Source organism: Homo sapiens, chromosome 11, assembly GCF_000001405.40.
Source record: "Homo sapiens chromosome 11, GRCh38.p14 Primary Assembly".
Taxonomy (NCBI): Eukaryota; Metazoa; Chordata; class Mammalia; order Primates; family Hominidae; genus Homo; species Homo sapiens.
Window position 1 is genome coordinate 46,364,484 of NC_000011.10, and position 15,251 is coordinate 46,379,734.

General features: G+C 60.9%; 1 protein-coding gene and 1 non-coding gene across 8 annotated transcripts in view, besides 4 other annotated features; both read left to right on the top strand.

The window, feature by feature from the left end:
* The window catches only part of DGKZ (diacylglycerol kinase zeta), a 47,629-nt gene that overhangs the window by 31,558 nt on the left and 820 nt on the right, over window positions 1-15,251 (top strand). For 2 of the 7 annotated variants that reach the window (NM_201532.3, NM_001199267.2), the window contains exons 2-30: window positions 2,808-2,916; window positions 3,169-3,264; window positions 3,522-3,596; window positions 5,011-5,067; window positions 5,458-5,526; window positions 6,830-6,901; window positions 7,004-7,120; window positions 7,221-7,292; window positions 7,592-7,687; window positions 7,945-8,027; window positions 8,134-8,194; window positions 8,288-8,401; window positions 8,478-8,618; window positions 9,674-9,752; window positions 9,916-9,971; window positions 10,121-10,183; window positions 10,283-10,356; window positions 10,451-10,562; window positions 10,949-11,148; window positions 11,368-11,468; window positions 11,583-11,662; window positions 11,845-11,914; window positions 12,041-12,081; window positions 12,590-12,729; window positions 13,715-13,746; window positions 13,974-14,017; window positions 14,508-14,628; window positions 14,720-14,753; window positions 14,986-15,085. In NM_201532.3, the coding sequence (NP_963290.1) occupies window positions 2,808-2,916; window positions 3,169-3,264; window positions 3,522-3,596; window positions 5,011-5,067; window positions 5,458-5,526; window positions 6,830-6,901; window positions 7,004-7,120; window positions 7,221-7,292; window positions 7,592-7,687; window positions 7,945-8,027; window positions 8,134-8,194; window positions 8,288-8,401; window positions 8,478-8,618; window positions 9,674-9,752; window positions 9,916-9,971; window positions 10,121-10,183; window positions 10,283-10,356; window positions 10,451-10,562; window positions 10,949-11,148; window positions 11,368-11,468; window positions 11,583-11,662; window positions 11,845-11,914; window positions 12,041-12,081; window positions 12,590-12,729; window positions 13,715-13,746; window positions 13,974-14,017; window positions 14,508-14,628; window positions 14,720-14,753; window positions 14,986-15,085 (2,509 nt within the window). Of the gene's footprint in view, window positions 1-1,760; window positions 2,502-2,807; window positions 2,917-3,168; window positions 3,265-3,518; window positions 3,597-5,010; window positions 5,068-5,457; window positions 5,527-6,829; window positions 6,902-7,003; window positions 7,121-7,220; window positions 7,293-7,591; window positions 7,688-7,944; window positions 8,028-8,133; window positions 8,195-8,287; window positions 8,402-8,477; window positions 8,619-9,673; window positions 9,753-9,915; window positions 9,972-10,120; window positions 10,184-10,282; window positions 10,357-10,450; window positions 10,563-10,948; window positions 11,149-11,367; window positions 11,469-11,582; window positions 11,663-11,844; window positions 11,915-12,040; window positions 12,082-12,589; window positions 12,730-13,714; window positions 13,747-13,973; window positions 14,018-14,507; window positions 14,629-14,719; window positions 14,754-14,970; window positions 15,086-15,251 lie in introns of all 7 variants that reach the window. The other 5 variants (NM_001105540.2, NM_201533.3, NM_001199266.2 and 2 more) reach the window with 5 other exon arrangements.
* Window positions 4,703-5,902: an enhancer, noted in NCBI's record as "CDK7 strongly-dependent group 2 enhancer chr11:46390736-46391935 (GRCh37/hg19 assembly coordinates)". NCBI's record gives its function as "activates an origin of replication core promoter dependent on BRD2, BRD4, P300/CBP, MED14 and CDK7 cofactors, with strong dependence on CDK7, by STARR-seq in HCT116 cells {active_cell/tissue: HCT116}" and the evidence as "EXISTENCE:reporter gene assay evidence [ECO:0000049][PMID:35650434]".
* Window positions 4,703-6,095: a biological region, named in NCBI's record as "CDK7 strongly-dependent group 2 enhancer GRCh37_chr11:46390736-46391935".
* Window positions 4,978-5,537: an enhancer, noted in NCBI's record as "H3K27ac-H3K4me1 hESC enhancer chr11:46391011-46391570 (GRCh37/hg19 assembly coordinates)". NCBI's record gives its function as "activates a minimal SCP1, AML or CMV promoter by ChIP-STARR-seq in naive H9 embryonic stem cells {active_cell/tissue: H9 hESC(naive)}" and the evidence as "EXISTENCE:reporter gene assay evidence [ECO:0000049][PMID:30033119]".
* Window positions 5,538-6,095: an enhancer, noted in NCBI's record as "H3K27ac-H3K4me1 hESC enhancer chr11:46391571-46392128 (GRCh37/hg19 assembly coordinates)". NCBI's record gives its function as "activates a minimal SCP1, AML or CMV promoter by ChIP-STARR-seq in naive H9 embryonic stem cells {active_cell/tissue: H9 hESC(naive)}" and the evidence as "EXISTENCE:reporter gene assay evidence [ECO:0000049][PMID:30033119]".
* Window positions 11,919-12,001, top strand: MIR4688 (microRNA 4688). The gene has a single exon (NR_039837.1). It is a non-coding gene; the product is annotated as a microRNA 4688 (primary transcript).

Sequence of the window (15,251 nt, forward strand, 5' to 3'; positions counted from 1 at the left end):
GGGCACTATTTGGGGTCATAAGAGCACTGCCCTGACCTCCCTGTCATCTGAGGCAGCTGGAAACTCCAATAGGCAGAGACCAAGAGCTGAGCTGTGCAGAACTCTGCTTCCCTAGGCACCTCCACCCTGTCCATCTCTCCCCCAACACCCCTGTACCTGGCCTGAAGCTGCTCAAGACCTGCAGGGCAGTAGCAAATCAGTGCAGTGTATGGAAGGAGAAGGTGCTAGACGTGCGGCCTGGGCCTGACTCCTCCAGCCCTTCATCTTTGCCTTCATCCTTCCTCCTGCCCAACATGCGTCCAGGGCATCACCCACCATGCCTAATTAATGCCAGCCTTCAGGGGACCACAGGGCTTCTTCTGTCAGCCCCAGGCAGCACTGTCCCAGGGCTGTGACCTTGACCTCTGTGGCTGCCAGCGGTTAGGATGCATCCCCCACCAGTCTCTCCCCAGGACCAGGGCCCAGGAGATCACCTGCTGTGGGGCACAGGTGGCCTCAGGTACCTGGAGGCATCGCCAGCCTGATCCATGCCAGGCAGGCTGCCCTTCCCCCACTGTTAGGAGAGGTAGGGCACAGGAGCTCGATGCTGGCTGTGAAGAAGGGTAGGCAGGGCTGAGGTGAGCTGGCAGAGGGAGCAAAGCATGAGTTCAGGATGGGTCCATGGAGGCCAGGTCCAGGTGGGAGCTAGGATGATGCCCACAGCTCCTGCCTGCCTGCAGGAGGGAGCTCTGGGCTGTGCAGCGTTTGGAATTGTGAGTATGGGGGCTTCCAGCATCAGGGCCGCAGAAGAATGTGCAGTCACAGGCTCCATCAGGAGCAGAGTCAGAAGGGTTTCCCGGCATCACCCAGCTTCACCCTGGGGTATCCGTACTTTGTCCCTTCAGAAAGGTGAGACAGAGCAGTCGAGCACCAGAAAGTTCTTACCATCAGCACTTCAGACATACAGGCACGCACACACCCAGAATCCAGAAGGCTTTGCTTTTGGCCCAAGCCTATTGTCACGGCCCCCTGGGTGTGAAGGGAGACTGAGCAGCCTCTCTCCCAGGAGAGCCAGACAGTGACTCTCCAGTTCCCTGAGACCTGGTCTCCCCTGAGCTACACATTAGACCCTCTCTATTTCCAGGAGTCACCTTCAGCCTGACCCCAAGGCTATGGGCTGAGAGACTCTGGGGGTCCTGTCAGGATTAAGTTCCTTTGCAGAGAGCCTCATTTTGTTATAGCTTGGTTTGCTCCATGTCCCATGAGGGGACACCTAACCTGCCCCCACCATGTTGGTGGCAAAACAAAGGCCCAGCAAGTGGGAAGCCCTGCCCTGGGCCCCACCGTCCATCCAGGCAGACCGACTCCCCATTTTCTTTTTGTTTTCTTTTCCATCAGCTTCCGGCAGGGCAGGTGGAGGCCTTTAGGCCCAGAGCTCTGTAGATTCTGGTGCCTGGATGGGGGAAGAAGGGGTAGCCTGAAGCACCCACCTCCCTGGGACTCCAGGGCTCCCTAGGGTGCAATGGGGGAGAGCATCAGTGCCCCAACAGCTGTAAACGTGGGCTCCCCTGAGCACCCCTGGGATCCTCACATGGAGGTCAGAGGCTGCAGTGACCCCTCCCTCCCTCAGGGGTTGCTTCCCTTCTCATGGGGCAGAGGCTGTGAATGGGCTCCTGGTTGCTTCCCTTCTCATGGGGCAGAGGCTGTGAATGGGCTCCCGGACACAGGACAGACCGTGGCCTGATCCAGCTCCTGATGCTCCCGGTCTCTGTGCCCAACAGCCAACCGCCTGCCATGGAGACTTTCTTTAGGAGACATTTCCGGGGGAAGGTGCCAGGCCCTGGAGAGGGGCAGCAGCGGCCCAGCAGCGTGGGGCTGCCCACAGGCAAGGCCCGGCGTCGCTCCCCCGCTGGGCAGGCCTCCTCCTCACTGGCACAGCGGCGCCGCTCCAGCGCCCAGCTCCAGGGCTGCCTCCTGAGTTGCGGGGTGAGGGCCCAGGGTTCCAGCCGCCGGCGCTCCAGCACTGTGCCCCCTTCCTGCAACCCCCGCTTCATCGTGGATAAGGTGCTCACTCCACAGCCTACCACCGTGGGGGCCCAGCTTCTGGGTGCACCCCTGCTGTTGACCGGGCTTGTGGGCATGAATGAGGAGGAGGGTGTCCAGGAGGATGTGGTAGCCGAGGCATCGAGCGCCATCCAGCCAGGCACCAAGACACCAGGGCCACCCCCACCTCGGGGCGCCCAGCCGCTGTTGCCCCTACCCCGCTACCTGCGCCGAGCCTCCTCCCACCTGCTCCCCGCGGATGCCGTATATGACCACGCTCTCTGGGGCCTGCACGGCTACTATCGGCGCCTCAGCCAGCGGCGGCCCTCAGGCCAGCACCCTGGCCCTGGGGGCCGAAGAGCCTCAGGCACCACCGCCGGCACCATGCTGCCCACCCGTGTGCGCCCACTGTCCCGCAGGCGCCAGGTAGCCCTACGGCGCAAGGCGGCCGGACCCCAGGCCTGGAGCGCCCTGCTCGCGTAGGTATAGCTGTGGCCAGCAGGGCGAGTGGTGTGACCTCCTGTGGGTCTGGCCTGGGCATGGGCCTTGAAGCTCTGCCTGGCTGAGGGTTCCCCACTTGGGAACACTCTGGGCAGTACCCTGAAGCCAGCGTACCCCAAAAGGCCATGTCTCTTGCAGGGAGCCTCTTAGTGTCTGGGGCTGCTGGGAGGCTCCTCCGCCCTCCCTGTTGCCGAGGTCACGGAAAGGGCAGAGGCCCCAGGAGGTGGGAGGAAGTAGGGTCAGCAAGTGCTCAGCCCCCTCCTCAGCTGTCTTCTCCTCTCTAGGAAAGCCATCACCAAGTCGGGCCTCCAGCACCTGGCCCCCCCTCCGCCCACCCCTGGGGCCCCGTGCAGCGAGTCAGAGCGGCAGATCCGGAGTACAGTGGACTGGAGCGTGAGTGCCTGAACACCCCTGGGTCCCAGACCCTCTGGGCTCTTGGCCAAGGCGCAGCTGGCGGGTGGAGGCACTAAAGGCAGCTGGGAGAGCCAAGCCTGGAAGGGTTGGGACAGTGGGGCAGACGGAACAGAGCAGGGTCGATCGGGGCGCTGGAGTGGGTTTGTCTTGGGAGAGGGCGGGTGGGCGGGGGCTGATGGGAGGGAGGGCTGGGCGGCCAGCGTGTGCTGAGCAAGCCCATCCCGTGGCTAGGAGTCAGCGACATATGGGGAGCACATCTGGTTCGAGACCAACGTGTCCGGGGACTTCTGCTACGTTGGGGAGCAGTACTGTGTAGCCAGGATGCTGGTGAGTGCTCGTAGGGGCACGCCGCCCCCTGCTGGTGGAGCCAGTAGCCGCAGCCCTTCCGGGAACGTGGGATTGAGCCCGCTCCCTGGCACCCCTGCTGTGGGCCGCCCCAGGATGGTGAGGGGTGCAGGGGCTTTGTCCGGATGCCAGGACTGGGGCTTCCCAGTGCACACAAAGGGCAGCTGTGCTGGGGCAGGCAGCCTCCGAGATAGACTTACCTGGTGCCTCAGGGGCCCTCTCTTCCTGTCCTGCAGCAGAAGTCAGTGTCTCGAAGAAAGTGCGCAGCCTGCAAGATTGTGGTGCACACGCCCTGCATCGAGCAGCTGGAGAAGGTGGGTGGGTAGCTCAGCTTTGCCCGCCCCTGCCCTTTGGGTGCTGAGGCCCTTTCAGCGCGCACTCACACCCACATGTTATACAAACGGCCTGCCAGGAGTGACCCAGCACTCGGGGGTGAAGAGTCAAGGACCCTGGAGCCAAATGCCTGCGTTCGAATCCTGGCTCCTCACTGATTAGCTGCTGTATCCCCACTGCCTGGAACAAACCTGGCGCCTAGTGGGTTCGTTGAATATCACTCAATGGAATGAATTGACGAATGGTGGCCCTTGTACCATTTCACCATGTCCAAACTAGTGCTTAGAAGAGGCCATTGATTTGCTGAAGCTTCATAACTCAGCTGTGGCTACACCCTGCCTCTGTGGAGACCTTTCCCCAAGGGCCATTGTCCACTGTGCATTTGCAGCTGGGGGCATGTCTGGGCACTGTGCTTCTAGAGGTGGAGGCAGCACTGGGCAGACGGGTCAAGGCCAGGGGCAGAAGGGTTCGCATGGAGGGGCAGCGCTTCCCAGCCTGCAGAAACCCAGGCCATCATACGGGAGAGACTGTAAGACTAGGAGTGGTTCAGGCAGGCTCACACAGGCTGCTTTCCCCAGCCTCTGAATTGTAAAGTGAGGCTTCCTTATACCTCTAATAAGGCTGAAGTAGGGACAGTTATGAGAAGGGAAATAGAAATGCAGCCCCAAGCACTGTACACTCATCATTTAAGGTGGAAATCGACCTAGGGTTCCACAAATTAGCTAAAGGTCTCCAGGGGCCAGGCAGTGCAAGTCTGCGTGTGAGGACCAGGCTGGCTGCGTGTGCCCGGGTCGGGAGTGCCAGAGGGCGAGGAAGAAAGGATGCGGCCGAGTGCGGTGGCTCATGCCTGTAATCCCAGCACTTTGGGAGGCCGAGGTAGGTGGATCACCCTGAGGTCAGGAGTTTGAGACCAGCCTGGCCAACATGGTGAAACCCCATCTCTACTAAAAATCACAAAAATTAGCCAGGCGTGGTGATGCACACCTGTAATCCCAGCTACTCGGGAGGTGGAGGTTGCAGTGAGCCGAGATCGCACCACTGCACTCCAGCCTGGGCAACAGAGCGAGACTCTGTCTCAAAAAACAAAAACAAAAAAAAAACAACGAGCAAACCATGGTCCCATGTTAGTGGGGGAGACGGACCCAAAGCTCCCAACCTCCCCCTCATCCTGGGTCCTGGGTGGAAGAAGGAAAGATCCCTCTGGCTAGTGAGGAGGAGGCAGAGAGGCAGGAGGGCTTCTCACAGGAGGTGTCTCGTGTTTCAAGGACTCTCGTGACGATTTGGGGGTATCCCCACCTTGTGAGGATGACTCTGGGTTGTCCTGGAGGGAGTGACCACATACCTGACCCCGAAGGGAGGTTCTGACATTTTGGTGGTCACTGCCATGTTTCACAGATAAATTTCCGCTGTAAGCCGTCCTTCCGTGAATCAGGCTCCAGGAATGTCCGCGAGGTAAGTGCCCAGGGTGGTCAGGGATGGGGCCACCCTAAGATTCCTGCATGGGCCTCTGCGCAGTGCCTCTGGAGTGCCACCAGGGGGCTCGGCTCCCTCTAGGCTGCTGCTCACTGAGGTCTGTCTGAGGTCTGCCATGCGGAGGCCTAACTAGCGCTGCCTGCGGAGTGGGTGGGACAGCTTGTGCCTCCTGGTGCTTCCCAGCCTTCTCTGTCCCTCTGAGTCTGAGCCTCCCCCAGGCCATGAAGAGAGTCTTTAGCCCCTCCTCCACTCATGCGCAGGACTGCAGAGCGCTTCCTGCAGCCCCGTGTGTTGAGCCGTGTGGGCAGTCCTCAGGACTGTGCCCCTGCCCACCCCTCACCCAGTGAAATTTTTCCCCTTCTCCCCCAGCCAACCTTTGTACGGCACCACTGGGTACACAGACGACGCCAGGACGGCAAGTGTCGGCACTGTGGGAAGGTGAGAGGCCCTGCCCGAGGACATCGCCACCTGCACCTGCGGTCCTGAGCCCAGGCCATGTGGCCGGTGTGGCCTGCCGATCACTGACCACACCCTGGTGTGCAGAGTCCGGGGCTGACCCTCAGCCTGGCTGCAGTGCCTTCAGTTCTCAAGCACCCTGGCCTGCTCTTGGTCTCTGGGCTTAGTAGGAGAGCAGGGAGGAAAGTTTTCTTCCCATGTGGCACACCTGGCCTGCTTTGAAGCTGCAAGTGGCCCTTTGGAGAATCGTATAGACTTACTCATTCGGTGACTCCATGGATACTTGTGTGCCGAGCGCCAAGCTGGGCAGCGGTTTCCCACCCTCCTGAGGACAGTGTGGCTTGAAGCCAGGCTTTCCAGGCGACCGCCTAACCCAGTCCACAGTTGTTTGGTTCACTTTCTTGTTTGCTTCTTGCCCGCCTCCCTCAGTAAGTGCAGGCTCTCAAAGATGGAGAGGCTTGCTTCACTGATTCTCAGCGCCTGGCCCACTGCAGGCCTTTCATAACAGCCTGTGTGATGAACAGGGAATGAATGTGATAGGTACTCGGAAGCGGCAGTAAATTTCTTTAACAGCACATGGGGGTCTGGTCAGGCCTCGGGGGTAGGAAGGAGGGAAAATCCGAGTGAGGCAGGAGTTAGCCTGCAGTGTGGCAGAACGGGTATGCATGTGGTGCCGTGCAGGTAACTTCAGGGAGTCAGGGGGCCCGGGCTAAGCCACCCTGCTCTTCAGGCTTATCTTATACATATTTTTTTTTATTTTAAAAAATGTGTTCAGACTGGGTGTGGTGGCTCACGCCTGTAATCCCAGCACTTTGGGAGGCTGAGGTGGGTGGATCACCTGAGGTCAGGAATTCGAGACCAGCCTGGCTAACATGGTGAAACCCTGTCTCTACTGAAAATACAAAAAATTAGCTGGGCGTAGTGGTGGGCGCCTGTAATCCCGGCCACTCAGGAGGCTGAGACAAGAGAATCGCTTGAACCTGGAAGGTGGAGGTTGCAGTGAGCCAAGATCACGCCACTGCACTCCAGCCTGGGCAACAAGAGCGAGACTCCATCTCCAAACAAAAACAAAAAATGTGTTCAAAGCTGGGCATGGTGGCACATGCCTGTTGTTCCCAGTTACTTGGGGGGGCTGAGGCAGATTGCTTAAGCCCAGGAGTTTGAGACCAGCCTGGGCAACATAGCGAGGCCCTGTCTCTGGGTGGAGAGAGGCTGGCACCAGGAGAGGGGCTGGGTCTGCTGCTCCACGCCTGCCCTGGTTCCCATCCATCCTGTCTACCCTCAGGGATTCCAGCAGAAGTTCACCTTCCACAGCAAGGAGATTGTGGCCATCAGCTGCTCGTGGTGCAAGCAGGCAGTGAGTGGTGCCCCCGCCCCCAGGGCCAGGCCCTGCACTGCTGGGTTTGGGTCCCCGAGTCTGAACACGGTCCCGCTGAGCCCGGCCCCTCGCTCTCCTCAGTACCACAGCAAGGTGTCCTGCTTCATGCTGCAGCAGATCGAGGAGCCGTGCTCGCTGGGGGTCCACGCAGCCGTGGTCATCCCGCCCACCTGGATCCTCCGCGCCCGGAGGCCCCAGGTGAGTACTGCCTGCACCCTTGATGCCCCGTACGCACTTGGGGTCTGCCAGCTACCCCAGCCTGCCCACCTCGTCACCAACACCCCTGCTTCCCTTGCAGAATACTCTGAAAGCAAGCAAGAAGAAGAAGAGGGCATCCTTCAAGAGGAAGTCCAGCAAGAAAGGGCCTGAGGTCAGCCCCAGGCTGGGCAGAGGCTGCAGGGGAGCAGGAGAGAGGGGTCTGTTGCTCAGGGTACAGAACTTCCACCCCCAGCTAATGCTGCCAGCTGGTGGGGGTCTGTGTGGGCTCTGGGGCCTCTGAGGAAGGCAGGATTAGATGCCAGTTTCTGCTCTGTGGCCTGGTAAGATCTGGCCCAGAGATGGTACGTGAGGGTACAAAGAGGGAACAAAGTCACCCAGGGGGCCTGCTAAGGATGATGGTAGGGTGTCCTGGACGGGAAGGAGCTTACAGCCTCTCACCTTGTCTCCCAGGAGGGCCGCTGGAGACCCTTCATCATCAGGCCCACCCCCTCCCCGCTCATGAAGCCCCTGCTGGTGTTTGTGAACCCCAAGAGTGGGGGCAACCAGGTGAACGCGGCCTTGCCTCTCAGCTAAGGGCTCGGGCGGGGGTTGGGGTCCAGCCCGTCTGCCAGCAGCTGTTCCCAGAGCCCGTTTCTGGCTTCTACCCCAATCCCTCTTTCCCAGGGATCCTGAGAAAATCCTGTCCTTTCTCCACCCCTCACCCCTTATTGGCCCTGGTTCCCACAGTCACACCCCTCTCCCTCTGCTGCTCCCACTTCGTCCCACCACTGCCTGACTGTCTCTTGGCTCCCCATCCCATCCAGGGTGCAAAGATCATCCAGTCTTTCCTCTGGTATCTCAATCCCCGACAAGTCTTCGACCTGAGCCAGGGAGGGCCCAAGGAGGCGTAAGTACTTGCCAAGGTTTTGTGGGGGACATGGGGGGGAACTTGCCTCACTCCTGGGGTACAGCACACATCCCCTGACCCCACTGCCATCTTCCCATGAGCCCAGGCTGGAGATGTACCGCAAAGTGCACAACCTGCGGATCCTGGCGTGCGGGGGCGACGGCACGGTGAGCTCCCCGCATGGGCCAGCCGAGCACCAGGGCTGGGCCTGAAGCCGGGGTCCCTGTGGGCCTGATTTGCCTCTGTTCTTCCTCCCCCAGGTGGGCTGGATCCTCTCCACCCTGGACCAGCTACGCCTGAAGCCGCCACCCCCTGTTGCCATCCTGCCCCTGGGTACTGGCAACGACTTGGCCCGAACCCTCAACTGGGGTGGGGTAAGCACCCATAGGAGGGGGGTGCAGCTGGGGCCTCTCCAGCCACAGAGGGCTCAGTCCCTGCCTGCTCCCCCAGGGCTACACAGATGAGCCTGTGTCCAAGATCCTCTCCCACGTGGAGGAGGGGAACGTGGTACAGCTGGACCGCTGGGACCTCCACGCTGAGCCCAACCCCGAGGCAGGGCCTGAGGACCGAGATGAAGGCGCCACCGACCGGGTAAGTTGGCCAGGGTTGGTGGGGGGCAGGGCAGGTGACTGGGGACTGGATCCCACTTTTCCACTTGCTGGTTCTGGGACCTCGGGCGTGTCTCTTCATTTCTCCAACTTCCACTTCTTCCTTGTACGATGGGAATAATAGTACTTGCCTCACAAGATGCTGTTTTTTCTGTGTTTTTTTTTTGTTTTTTTTTTTTTTTTTTTGAGACTGAGTCTCGCTCTGTTACCCAGGCTGGAGTGCAGTGGCGCAATCCCAGCTCACTGCAACCTCCGCCTCCCAGGTTCAAGCGATTCTCCTGCCTCAGCCTCCTGAGTAGCTGGGATTATAGGCAGGTGCCACCACACCTGGCTAATTTTTGTTTTTCTGTTTTCTTTTTTTTTTCTTGTTTTTTTTTTTGTTTTTGTTTTTTGTTTTTTGTGACAGAGTCTCACTGTCACCCAGGCTGGAGTACAGTGGCACAGTCTTGGCTCACTGCAACCTCTGCCTCCCGGGCTCAAGCTATTCTCCTCCGTCAGCCTCCTGAGTAGCTGGGACTACAGGCACCCGCCACCACACCCGGCTAATTTTTGTATTTTTAGTAGAGATGGGGTCTCACCATGTTGGTCAGCCTGGTTTTGAACTCCTGACCTCAGGTGATCCATCTGCCTCGGCCTCCCAAAGCACTGGGATTACAGGCATGAGCCACCACGCCTGGTCAGAAGATGCTGCTTTATTCCATAGACATGCACTGAGCGCCTGCTACCTGCCAGGCACTTCTCTAAGCAGTGAGCAAAACCAAGCCTCGCTGTTGTGCTCCACATGGCATGTCAGGAAGAAGTGTTAGGGGAGCTGACAGGGAAGAGATGCTGCAGGCACGCAGGGAAATCCCCCAGGAGCCACCAGGCAGAGCAGGGCTGTGCCTGACAGCGGGTGAGCTGGGCTGAGCCCTAGCGGACGCTGCTGACCAGGAAAAGCCTGTGAACAGATGGGCTGAGCTGGCTCGGCCACACGAGGCCCCTGGAGCGGGGACATTTGTGAGGCCCAGCCCTCATTTTGGTCCCTTGACCTTTTTCCAGTTGCCCCTGGATGTCTTCAACAACTACTTCAGCCTGGGCTTTGACGCCCACGTCACCCTGGAGTTCCACGAGTCTCGAGGTTGGCAGCCTCCCACTGAGGCCAGGGCAGGGTGGGCACAGGAGTGTCCCCGGGAGGGTCAGACCCTGCTCCCGCCAGTGAAGGCATCCATCCCAGCCCTCCCCCAACCCCACCTGGGCAGGCTGGGGTGACTCACTGGCCCCCACTGCTTGTCTCCACCCAGAGGCCAACCCAGAGAAATTCAACAGCCGCTTTCGGAATAAGATGTTCTACGCCGGGGTGAGTGGGGTCTGCACCCCCGCCTGTGCCCACCTCTTCTACCACCCGTGCCCGTGCCCACCTGTGTCCACCAGGCCCCAGGAGCCCTGCCGGGTGCTGGTGAGGAAAGATCTCTGTCAGCAGATGGTGACGCCCTCTGTCTCCCACAGACAGCTTTCTCTGACTTCCTGATGGGCAGCTCCAAGGACCTGGCCAAGCACATCCGAGTGGTGGTGAGCGGGGCCAGGCTGCCGTGGGTGGGTGGGCCGGAAGGGAGGGAGGCGGAGGCCACCTGGCACATGCACCTCAACACCCTCCCCGCCCGCCTCCAGTGTGATGGAATGGACTTGACTCCCAAGATCCAGGACCTGAAACCCCAGTGTGTTGTTTTCCTGAACATCCCCAGGTGAGGAGGGGGCTACCGGAGCTGGGGGGAGCCCTGCTGTCCTTGTCCTGCAGAGACTGTGTTTTGAGGCCCATGTCATCGCCCGCCTTTGCAGGTACTGTGCGGGCACCATGCCCTGGGGCCACCCTGGGGAGCACCACGACTTTGAGCCCCAGCGGCATGACGACGGCTACCTCGAGGTCATTGGCTTCACCATGACGTCGTTGGTGAGTGGGCCCTGGGCCCATGGTGCCTGGGAGCACAGCCCAAAGGTGGAAGGGGTCACCCATACTCACCTCCATGGGCCACGGCGGCCTAGTTCACCCTCACCTCCCTTCTTTGTCTCATTCCTCTGGCTTGAGAGCGGCACCTACCCCCTCTCCTCACTATGCCTCGGGATACCTTCACTCCCCACTCTGACTGGAGCGTCACCCTCATTGCCTCTGTCCCTTCCCTTTCCTACCTGGGGTCTCAGCCTCCCCTCTGCCCTCTGGCCAGGGGTCACTCTCACCTTTGTTCTCTGGCTAGAGTTTCTGCTTCGGAAGGAGCAGAGTCTGGGACCCCCCTGCCCCCAGCCCTGGTGCCATCTGACCCAAGCTTCCTGTGCCCACAGGCCGCGCTGCAGGTGGGCGGACACGGCGAGCGGCTGACGCAGTGTCGCGAGGTGGTGCTCACCACATCCAAGGCCATCCCGGTGCAGGTGGATGGCGAGCCCTGCAAGCTTGCAGCCTCACGCATCCGCATCGCCCTGCGCAACCAGGCCACCATGGTGCAGAAGGCCAAGCGGCGGAGCGCCGCCCCCCTGCACAGCGAGTACGTCCCACCCTGCCACGTGCCCTGGGTGCCAAGGCCAGACCCTGCCCTCTCTGGGCCTTGATTTCCCCATCTGTAAAAGGGGCTGACTGTCCCTCTGCCCCAGGGGTGTTGGGAGTGGAGCGGGACCTTCTCTCGGCAAGTGGTTTGGTGCCAGGCCGAGGGTGGCACCAAGGCAGGGCCCTTGCTGAGCCCCCGCTTGCCGGCCCTGCCCGACAGCCAGCAGCCGGTGCCAGAGCAGTTGCGCATCCAGGTGAGTCGCGTCAGCATGCACGACTATGAGGCCCTGCACTACGACAAGGAGCAGCTCAAGGAGGCCTGTGAGTGCGGTGGGGCGGCCTGGCAGGGTGGCCAGGAGGGGCTGAAGCAGCCGGGGCCCCCTTGGGCAGGGCTGTGGGGTGCAGCCAGCTGCTGACAGGTGCTCTGTTCTCCAGCTGTGCCGCTGGGCACTGTGGTGGTCCCAGGAGACAGTGACCTAGAGCTCTGCCGTGCCCACATTGAGAGACTCCAGCAGGTAAGGGGTGGGGGCTTCCCCAGGTGCCCACCGAGAGGGTGGTGGGAAGTGAGGCCAGGCCTCTTCCTCCCGCAGCCAGCTCGCCCTGCGGAGCCTCCTCTGTGCTGGTTCCCCCTACTCCAAGTTCCCTTCCCTCCCTGGCCCCCACTCTATCCCAGCCTGGCCTTTGCTTCTCTCAACAGGAGCCCGATGGTGCTGGAGCCAAGTCCCCGACATGCCAGAAACTGTCCCCCAAGTGGTGCTTCCTGGACGGTGAGTCTACTCCCAGGGTGCCAAGCTGTTTCGTGTTCCCTCCCTAGGGGATCCCAGGTAGGGGCAGCAGAGGACCTGGGCCTGGACATGGCACTCCCTGATCCTCAGCTGCCCTCTCTCCCACAGCCACCACTGCCAGCCGCTTCTACAGGATCGACCGAGCCCAGGTGAGCGATTGCAGGCCTGCTCCAGCCACAGCTGCTTCCGGGCCCCAGGGTCGCCTCTCCTGGGACGCCTTCCCTGTTAGCTCCCCCGATGGGCTCACCTCTGTCCTCATGCCTCTGAGAGCTTTTACTATTGCCTGTGTGCATGGACAGCGTGCGGCCCTGCCCTCCACACTGGAGAGTATAGGGCGGTGCCAGCCAGAAAGGCAGTGGGGTACCTACCAAAGGCTTGCTGGGTGGGTAGGAGGGCCTGGAAGCCCAGAGCCATCCAGGGAGACACAGAAGCAAAGGCATTCTGGTCAGGCGCCAGCTCACCTGGTAAAGTCTGGGCAGTCGGAGGAGGTGTCAGGAATGGGAAGGAGTGGGAGAGGGACAGGCAGGGCCCCTTGCCTGGCCACCTCCTTTCAGTGTTTGTGCTCATGGCAGAGGCTTCTCCAGGTCTACCAGCCTTGCTGCCCCTCGGCCCCCACCGTCAGGTGCCCTGACCTCCCGCCCTGACCTCCCCCCACAGGAGCACCTCAACTATGTGACTGAGATCGCACAGGATGAGATTTATATCCTGGACCCTGAGCTGCTGGGGGCATCGGCCCGGCCTGACCTCCCAACCCCCACTTCCCCTCTCCCCACCTCACCCTGCTCACCCACGCCCCGGTGAGTCCTGGTGTCCCGTCCCTCCAGCCCCTGGCTTTCAGCCCCACCTGTAAGCCGATGACTTCTGAATCCCTGCTTCTAGCCCCTCCACCAGTTAACTAAATGGTGTCAACCTGAACCTGGCCAAAGCCCACCTGACGGCCTTCAGCCCTGTGGTTCTGTGGGGAAGCGGCCTCACGTCCACCCTGGTTCCCTCCCTGACTTCTCCCTCCTCTGGACCTCATCCTTCAGCCAGTCCTGGCAGCCCCCGGACCCACCACCTGAGCACTCCTCCCCACCCCTACTGCCACCAGCCCTTCCCGGCTGCCACGCCCTGGCCCCCAGCTCTTATATCCCTGTGGCCATTCGTGCCCTCGAACCCCCATCTCCATACCACGGTCAACTAAAAATGCAGAGCATACCAGGCCACTCCCCAACCTAGAAGCTTCTTTCTCAGCAGCCCTTTGGACGTGGATTCTCCCCAGGCCCCCCGTCATTGCACTGGGCTCCCAGCCCCCTCCCTGAGTTCACCTCCATGGTCCTGCCCCACTCTCTTCTCTTGGTTCTTTGAGGCATCAGGTGTTTGCCACCACTGGACTTCTGTCATCGCTGCCTCCAACTCTTCCCCCATCTTTCCGGAGCTCCCCCACCCCCATCCCCTTCGAATCTCAGCTTGGCTGTTTCCTCCTTGGAGAGATCACTCCCAGGACCCCCTCTGCAGGGGTGCCACATCACCTGTTCTGAATTCTTAAGAGCACCCCTGCTCTCAGAACTCCTTATTTATTTGACTTGTTTGTATCCCTGAACTAGAATGTAAGCTCCATGAGGGCAAGGCCTTCCTCTGTCTCGTTTCCCTGCTGTATCCCCAGTGCCTGGAATAGTGCTTGGTGTGTAGCAGGCACTCAATAAACTGTGGAAAGGATGAAGATGCCCCCAGTTGGGGTTGGGGAGGGCGACCAGCTGGCCTGTGCCGTAGCCGGTCACAGCACATCATGCTCTGTTGCAGGTCACTGCAAGGGGATGCTGCACCCCCTCAAGGTGAGGCCTCTCCCTCTGGGGCCCCTCCTTTCTGCCTGGTTGGGGGCAGGAGGCTCAGTGGGGTGGGGATAGGGCCCAGACACAGCCTTACACAAACACAGCCTTTGAGCTTCACGCACCAACGGAGCCCTGGGCACACATGCCTGGCCGGCACAGTCCTGTCCACTGAGGCACCAACCCAAGCCCAGGCCTCCGACTGCAGAGTAACAGGCAGGTATTCCGTGCAGGTGAAGAGCTGATTGAGGCTGCCAAGAGGAACGACTTCTGTAAGGTACTAGCTCCAGGCTCCAGTTCCTTCCCCCAGCAGCTCCCTCGGGCCCTGGGGAGCGAGGCCTCTGGGTTGGGCCAAGAGCTGACCTGCTCAGGTGCTGTCATCTGTCATCGTCTGGCCCTCTGTGGGATCTCCAGTGATCGTCCCATTCCACTTCACTGTATCTCTGTCTAGGCCACAATAGATGGCTCCTAGTAGGGGCTTCCTAGCTCAGTCCACCTGTCCCTGGTGCTTAGAAAGGAGCAGGTCAGAGGAAGCACTGCTCCAGGGCTTGGTCACCAGTGCTGCCAGAGAGCCCACAGGCTGTGGGGTGAGAGGCCCCTCCTCCGGTGTGCTCCAGAGAGACCCACAGAGGCAACTCAGGAGTAAGATGTGTGAGCGCACTCGTTTCAGGCCTGTGCTGGTGTACCCGGCTGTGGGCCAGCGTGTGAGCTCAGGGAAGGAGGGGTGGCCCCAGGAGGTCCAGCCCTGCCATGCCTCCTGCCCTCAGCTCCAGGAGCTGCACCGAGCTGGGGGCGACCTCATGCACCGAGACGAGCAGAGTCGCACGCTCCTGCACCACGCAGTCAGCACTGGCAGCAAGGATGTGGTCCGCTACCTGCTGGACCACGGTGAGCCGGGCAGTGGAGCCCAGGGCCTGGGGCCAAGGTGGGAGGAGGAGGGGCTGCCAGGCCTCTCTGACCACCACCTCCCCTTCTCCAGCCCCCCCAGAGATCCTTGATGCGGTGGAGGAAAAGTAAGTATCTGGGCAGTGCAGAACCGTGGTCACCCCGGAAACCACCCTTTTCCCCACCCCTCCCATTTTGTCAGGTCAGAGCCCATAAACTTCCTGGTCACATCTGTCATCCCCTGGGCCACCCCTATTGCCCCAGAGCCCTGAACTTCCTGCCCTTTCTGATGGCCCTTGGGAGACAGATGGGTGGATCAGGGGACGGGATGGGGTACACAGCCAGCCCCTGCTCCCCCAGCGGGGAGACCTGTTTGCACCAAGCAGCGGCCCTGGGCCAGCGCACCATCTGCCACTACATCGTGGAGGCCGGGGCCTCGCTCATGAAGACAGACCAGCAGGTGAGCAGACGGCAGGCAGGGAGCCCACGAGGGCACCAACCAAACCTTTCCCAAGGTCCTAGGCGGGAGCTGGGGCTGGGGGCTGTCCCTGGGAAGACACAGTCCAGACCCTGGGAAACCTGAGCCAGCAGGGGAGGAGCTGGTGGGCAGAGAGGCCTCCCTCCCT